Source organism: Homo sapiens, chromosome 5 (genome assembly GCF_000001405.40).
Source record: "Homo sapiens chromosome 5, GRCh38.p14 Primary Assembly".
In the NCBI taxonomy this organism is placed as follows: domain Eukaryota; kingdom Metazoa; phylum Chordata; class Mammalia; order Primates; family Hominidae; genus Homo; species Homo sapiens.
In genome coordinates this window covers 155,400,449-155,408,736 of record NC_000005.10, presented here as the reverse complement: position 1 = coordinate 155,408,736, position 8,288 = coordinate 155,400,449, and positions in this window count along the sequence as shown.

The window sequence follows — 8,288 nt, the reverse complement described above, 5'->3', positions numbered from 1 at the left end:
CTGACATCTGCTTGAAACCCAAAAGGTCAGAAGGATCATGAGGCCCTGCTTTCAAGGTCTGTATTCATACTGAAAATCAAGATCAAGTGAACTTTTTCCCTAATGCCCCATGCGAGGTTTCTGTCCTCCCTGAGCTTGCCTTAGAACACCTGCATTACTGTTTGACCGGTGTACACTCTAATATTTTTTATTCTTCGAATTATCCTGAATTGGCTAAATCTGGCTCTTATAGAGCTTCTCTTTTTGATGAGCATGACTAACTATGAAATACAGATTCACAAAAGTTAGGGGAACTAATGGAAGATATTGGCAGTGAATGCATTCTTAGACTTGTCTATCCCAATGCTTCCCAAACTATCCATAGTGAAGAACTCAGTTTTTCTGTTTATTTGTTTTTAAATTTCTAATCTGTTGCAGACTGATAGTTTTGTAAAATACAATAAAAACACTGTGACAATGTTAACTTACCATAAGTTTATATAGATGCTTACTCTCAGTTTCTGTCTTAAGGGCACTGCAAACTAGTTCACAGACCACACTTAAGGTAGCACTGGTCTATCCAGAGTCCTTCCAAGGAATCCTTATCACATCCAAGGTGTGAGCTAGTCTGACCTCAGAGCATTCCCCAAACCCAGAAAGTAAGATCAGTTTGCAGTGGAGTTTTTTTTTAATAAGTAAAAAGAAACAGAATAAATTTAATCCAATGTGCGTGAAATATTATCATCTTAACATGTAATGTATATTTAAAACTATTAATATTTTACATTCTCTTTTTCATACTAAGTCTTTCAAATATAGTATAAAATATTTTACACTTATAGCACTTGTTAATTCTCACTTTCCACATTTCAAGTGCTTGATAATACATGTGGATAGTGATTGTTATATTGGATAGGGCACAACTGGATTTTTTTTTTTTTACTTCAACAAGTTTTTGGGGAACAGGTGGTGTTTGGTTACATGAATACATTCTTTAATGGTAATTTCTGAGATTTTGGTGCACCCATCACTGAGCAGTGTACACTGTACCCAATGTGTAGTATTGTATCCCTTTGTTTCTGGGTTCTCTATTCTGTTTCATTGGTCTACATACTTATTTTTATACCAGTACTATGCTATTTTCGTGAATATAGCCTTACAGTATAGTTTGAAGTCAGGTAATGTAATGCCTCCAGATTTGTTCTTTTTGCTTAGTCTTGCTTTGGCTATGTAAGTTCTTTTTGGTTCCATATGAATTTTAGGATTATTTTTTCTAGTTCCATGAAGAATGATGGTGGTATTTTGATGGGAATTGCATTGAACTTGTATATTGCTTTTGGTAGTATGGTCATTTTCACAGTATTGATTCTACCCATTCATGAACATAGGATGTGTTTCCATTTGTTTGTGTGGTCTATGATTTCTTTCAGCAGTGTTTTGTAGCTTTCCTTGTAGAGATCTTTCACCTCCTTGCTTAAATGTATTCCTTTTTTTTTTTTTTTTTTTTTTGCAGCTATTGTAAATGGGGTTGAGTTCTTGATTTGATTCTCAGCTTGTTTGCTGTTAGTGTATAGCAGGGCAACTGATTTGTGTACAATAATTTTGTATTCTAAAACTTTGCTGAATTTATTTACCAGTTTTAGGAGCTTTTAAGATGAGTCTTTAGGGTTTTCTAGGTATACAATCATGTCATCAGCAAACAGCGACAGTTTCACTTCCTCTTTACTGATTTGGATGCCCTTTATTTCTTTCTCTTGTCCTCTGGCTAGGACTTCCAGTACTGTGTCAAATAGAAGTGGTGATAGTGGGCATTCTTGTCTTGTTCCAGTTCTCAGGGGGAATGCTTTCAACTTCTCCCCATTCAGTATAACGTTGGCTGTCGGTTTCTCTTAGATGGTTTTTATTACCTTAAGGCGTGTCACTTCTATGCTGATTTTGCTGAGGGTTTTAATCATAAAGGGATGCTGAATTTTGTCAAATGCTTTTTCTGTGTCTATTGAGATGATCATGTAATTTTTGTTTTTATTTCTGTTTATGTGGTGTATCACATTTATTGACTTGCATATAGTAAATTATCTCTGCATCCCTGGTATGAAACCCACTTGATCATGGTGGATTATCTTTTTGATATGCTGTTGGATTTGGTTAGCTACTATTTTGTTGAGGATTTTTGCATCTATGTTCATCAGTGATATTGGTCTGTAGTTTTCTTTATTTTTTGTTATGTCCTTTCCTGGTTTGGGAATTAGGGTGATATTGGCTTCATACAATCCTCTTTCTCTATCTTTTGGAATAGTGTCACTAGGATTGGTACCAATTTTTCTTTGAATGTCTCATAGAATTCAGCTGTGAATCCATCTGGTCCTGGACTTTTTTTTGTTGGTAGCTTTTTGATTACCACTTCAATCTTGCTGCTTGTTATTGGTCTCTTCAGAGTTTCTATTTCTTTCTGGTTTAACGTAGGAGGGTTGTGTACTTCCAGGAACTTATCCAATTCCTCTAGGTTTTCTAGTTTATGTGCATAAAGTTGTGCATAGTAGCCTTGAATGATCTTTCGTATTTCTGTGGTATCAGTTGTAATCGCTCCTGTTTCATTTCTAACTGAGCTTATTTGGATCTTCTCTCTCCCTTTCTTGGTTAATCTCACTAATGGTCAATCAATTTTATTTATCTTTTCAAAGAACCAGTTTTTTGTTTCATTTACCTTTTGTATTGTTTTTGTTTGTTTGTTTCACTTTCATTTACTTCTGCTCTAATCTTGGTTATTTCCTTTCTTCTGCTGGATTTGGGTTTGGTTTGTTCTTGTTTCTCTAGTTCTTGAGGTGTGACCTTAGATTGTCTATTTGTGCTTTCAGATTTTTTGATATAGGCATTTAAGGCTATGAACTTTCCTCTTGGCACTGCCTTTGCTGCATCCCAGAGATTTTGATAGGTTGTGTCACTATTATTGTTCAGTTCAAAGAATGTTTTAATTTCCATCTTGATTTCATTGTTGACCCAATGATCATTCAGGAGGAGGTTATTTAATATCCATGTATTTGCATGGTTTTGAGGGTTCCTTATGGAGTTAATTTCCAATTTTATTGACTGTGATCTGAGAGGGTACTTGATATAATTTCGATTTTCTTAAATTTGTTGAGACCTGTTTTGTGGCCTATCATATGGTCTATCTTGGAGAATGTTCCATGTGCTGATAAACAGAATGTATATTCTGCAGTTGTTGGGTAGAATGTTCTGTAAATACCTGTTAAGTCCATTTGTTTTAGGGAACAGTTTTAACCCCTTGTTTCTTTGCTGACTTTCTGTCTTGAGGACCTGTCTAGTGCTGTCAGTGGAGTATTAAAGTTCCCCACTATTATCGTGTTGCTGTCTATCTCATTTCTTAGGTCTAGTAGTAATTGTTTTATAAATTTGGGAGCTCCAATGTTAGATGCACATATATTTAGAATTGTGATATTTTCCTTTTGGACTATTCCTTTTATCATTATATAATGTCCCTCTTTGTCTTTTTTAACTGCTGTTGCTTTAAAGTTTGTTTTCTCTGATGTAAGAATAGCTACTCTTGCTTACTTTTGGTGTCCACTTGCATGGAGTATCTTTTTCTACCCCTTTACCATAAGTTTATGTGGGTCCTTATGTGTCAGGTGAGTTTCTAGAAGACAACAGATACTTGGTTGGTGAATTATCCATTCTGCCATTCTGTATCTTTTAAGTGGAGCTGTTAGGCCATTTACAACCAACATTAGTATTGAGATGTGAGGTACTATTCATTGTGTTATTTGTTGCCTCAATCTCTTGCTTTTGTTGTTGTGTTATAGGTCCTGTGAGATTTATGCTTTAAGGAGGTTCTATTTTATTGTATTTTGAGGATTTGTTTCAAGATTTAGAGCGCCTTTCAGCAGTTTTCATAGTGCTGGCTTAGTAGTGGCAAATTCTCTCAGTATTTGTTTGTCTGAAAAAGACCTTCTTTCCTTCATTTATGAAGCTTAGTTTTGCCAGATACAAAATTTGTGGCTGATAATTGTTTTGTTTAAGGAGGCTAAAGATAGGACCCCAATTCCTTCTACCTTGTAGGGTTTCTGCTGAGAAATTTCCTATTAGTCTGCCTGGTTTTCCTTTATAGGTTACCTGATGCTTTTGCTTTACAGCTCATAAGATTTTTCCTTTGTCTTGACTTTAGATAACCTGATGTGCCTAAGTGATTATCTTTTTGTGATGAATTTCCCAGGTGTTCTTTGAGCTTCTTGTATTTGGATGTCTAGATCTCTACCAAGGTTGGGGAAGTTTTCCTCAATTATTCTCTCGAATATGTTTTCCAAACTTTTAGACTGCTCTTCTTCCTCAGGAACACCAATTATTCTCAGGTTTAGTTGTTTTAACATAATGCCAAACTTCTTGGAGGCTTTCATTTTTTAAATTCTTTTTGTCTTTGTCAGACTGGGTTAATTTGAAAGTCTTGTCCTTGAGCTCTGAAGTTCTTTCTTCTACTTGTTTGATTCTATTGCTGAGAGTTTCCAGTGCATTTTGCAATTCTCTAAGTGTGTCCTTCATGTCCAGAAGTGATTGTTTTTTACTTTTGCTTTCTATTTCACTGGAGATTTCCCATTAACATCTTGTATCTATTTTTTTTTTTTATTTCTTTGAGTTGGACTTCATCTTTCTCTGGGGCTTCATTGATTGGCTTAATATTTGACCTTCTGAATTCTTTTTCTGGCAATTCAGAGATTTTGTCTTGGTTTTGATCCACTGCTGGTGAGCTAGTGTGATCTTTTGGGGGTATTAAATAACTTTGTTTTGTCATATTACCAGAATTGTTTTCCTGGTTCCTTCTCATTTGATTAGACGATGTGAGAGGAAAGATCTGGGGCTCAAGGGCTGCTGTTCAGATTCTTTTGTCCCATGAGGTGCTCCCTTGATGTGATGCTCTCTCCCTTCCCCTAGGGATAGGGCTTCCTGAAAACTGAACTGCAGTGGTTGTTATTTTTCTTCCGGATCTAGCCACCCAGCAGAGCTACCAGGCTCCAGGCTGGTAATGGGGAGTGTCTGCAAAGAATCCTGTGATGTGATCCATCTTCAGATCTCTTAGCCATAGATACCAGCACCTACTCCGGTGGAGGCAGCAGGGGAGTGAAGTGGACTCTGTGAGAGTCCTTGGTCATATTTTTGTTATGTGCCCTGGGTTTGTGTTTATTGGCCTCCAGCCAGGAGGTGGTGCTTTCAAGAACGCATCCACTGCCATTGTGTAGGGAGGATTCAAGCTTGCCCTAGGGCCAGGCAGTGGGCGGAGCCGTAGAGCTGCCAAAGGACTGTGTCATTTGTCTTATGCTACCAGGGTGGGTAGAGAAAGACCATCAGGTGAGGACAGGGTTAGGCATGTCTGAGCTCAGATTCTCCTTGGGCGGGGCCTGCTGCAGCTGCTGTGGGGGATGGAGCTGTGGTTTTCAGGCCAATGGAGTTATGTTCCCAAGAGGATTATGGCTGCCTCTGCTGTATCACACAGGTCACTGGTGAAGTGGGGGAAAGCTGGCAGCCATAGGCCTCACCCAGCTCCCACGCAGCTACCAGCTCCAAAGGCTGGTCTCACTCCCACCATGCCCCTGCAATAGCACTGAGTTTATTTCCAGGCAGCTGGTGAGCAGAGCTGAGAACTTGCCTCAGGCTACAAGCCTCCTAGCTGAGAAAGCAAGCCAACTCACAGTTCCTCTATTGTCCCATGGAGTCTGCAACAGCAATCTACCTCCTTCAAAGGGCCTGTGATTCTCTTGGCTTTCCTGGTATGTTCCTGTGGTAGTTCTTGGAGCAAAAGTTCACAGTGTGGGTCTCCACATGCTCCTCTGTTCATCCGAGTGGGAGCTGCAAATTAGTCCTGCCTCCTATCTGCCATTTTCCAACCCTATCCTGCAGTGGAGTTTTTGCGTAGAAAATGCTTTGATAGTCCTTTAACTAAAAAAAATAAATAAAAGTCCTCCTAAGATACTGTTTTTCTGATAAAGCATTTGTGCTCAGGCCTGGAAGTCTAATTTCCTAGTAGTAAAATAAAATATTTCAGTCCATTAATGTAGTACAATTCATCCGGTAAATTCTCTAATAAGTAGGGGGTGGAGGATAAAGATGAGAACTGAGTGGGATTCAACTGTGGCAATTTTCTGAAATGATGAACTGCTCCAAAAAACATCAAGCTTGATCACAGGGTCTCTAAGTTGGAAAGCAGAGGTGATGAGTTAAGAAACTAGGGAAATGAAGGACAGCCATTAACGAGAAGCCAGACGACAACTATACCAGGAAGCAGGAGGGAATGTCCTTGTCAGTCTCACCAAGGATTCAGTAGCATGGTGGTAGGTGTGCTTTTTCCTCTTCTTATCCTGTAGAATCCAGTCATTTTTATTTGTTTCTTCCTTCATTCATTCATTCAACCAGCACATGGTTCTTTAGTGCCTTCCTAGCATTTTTCTAGGCATTAAAGACACATCAACAGACAAATCATCCAACTTATGGGCTATTGGGGAGACAACAGACAATTAAACAAGCATTTGCCGTCAAGAGTGATACTATGGGAGCGTGTGTTAACAAAGTCTAACCTGGCCTCTAAGGTCAGAGAAAGATTTTCTTTTCTTTCTTTTGTTTCTGTTTTGAGACAGGATCTTACTCTGTTGCCCAAGCTACAGAGCAGTGGCATGATCACAGCTCTCTGCAGCCTCTACCTCCCCTGGGCTCATATGATTCTCCTACCTAAGCCTCCCTTGTAGCTGGGACTAATTTCCACAGGAGCAAGAACAACATGGATTAGAAAGGTGAGCCAGGCGCGGTGGCTCATGCCTGTAGCGGATCACGAGGTCAGGAGATCGAGACCATCCGGGCTAACGCGGTGAAACCCCGTCTCTACTAAAGGTGCAAAAAATTAGCCAGGCGTGGTGGCAGGAAACCTTAGTCCCAGCTACTTGGGAGGCTGAGGCAGGATAATGGAATGAACCCGGTGGACGGAGCTTGTAGTGAGCCAAGATGGAGCCACTGCACTCCAGCCTGGGCAACAGAGCGAGACGCCATCAAAAAAAAAAAAAAAAAAAAAAAGGGTGAGAACAGGGTGCAAAATGCTATTTATTCACCAGAAGTGAACCCAAATACCCAAATGTTCACATCCTCAAATAGTGGGCACATTGGTAGGAGTAGGAAGTCTTAAGAACAAACTTGGGAGGTTCACCATGGTGAGTTGAATTAGGTATTTAATAGGTATTTAATTATTTTTATTGTATTTATTTTACTTTATTTTATTTTATTTTTTTTGAGACAGAGTCTTGCTTTGTCACCCAGTATGGAGTGCAATCCAGTGATACAATCCCGGCTTACTGCAACCTCCACCTCCCAAGTTCAAGCGATTCTCCTGCCTCAGCCTCCTAAGTAGCTGGGTCTACAGGCATGCGCCACTGCACCTGGCTAAATTTTTTGTATTTTTAGTAAAGACGGGGTTACACCATGTTGGCCAGGCTGGTCTCAAACTCCTGACCTCAGGTGATCCACCCACCTCGGCCTCCCAAAGTGCTGGGATTACAGGCGTGAGGCACTGTGCCTGGCCTATTTATTTATTTATTTTTGAGACAGGCTGTCACTCTCACCCAGGCTAGAGTGCAGCGGTGCAATCTTGGCTCACTGCAGCCTTGACCTCCTGGGTTCAAGCGATCTTCTCACCTCAGCCTCCTGAAACACACGCCACCATGCTGGCTGTTTTGTTTTGTTTTGTTTTGTTTTGTTTTGTTTTTGTGACAGAGTCTTGCTCTGTCACCCAGGCTGTAGTGCAGTGATGTGATCTCAGCTCACTGCAACCTCCACCTCCTGGGTTCAAGAGATTCTCCTGCCTCCACCTCCTGAGTAGCTGGGATTACAGTCATGGGCCACCACACCTGGCTAATTTTTGTATTTTTTGTAGGGACAGGGTTTCACCATGTTGGCCAGGCTGGCCTTGAACTCCTGGGCTCAAGCAATCCTCCCGCCTCGGCCTCCCAAAGTGCTGTGATTACAGGCATAAGCCACCGCACCTGGCCAGGATTTTCTTCAGAGGAGTAATCAAGGGGTAGAGAAGAAGGTTCCAGGCAGAGAAACAGCATATGCAAAGGCATGAAAGGGCTTGGTAGGTTTAGAGATCGGAAAGATGCCCACGGCATCTGGATAAATACAGGGTGGGGTTGGAGACTTGGATATGAGGCAGAAAACATGCAGAAAGAATTGCTGGAGCCCCTTGAGAACCACAGGCTGGGTCCATTATCCTGAGCCCAATGGGAGCCTCACAAGAGCTTTAAACAGGAGTACAAAGTGGT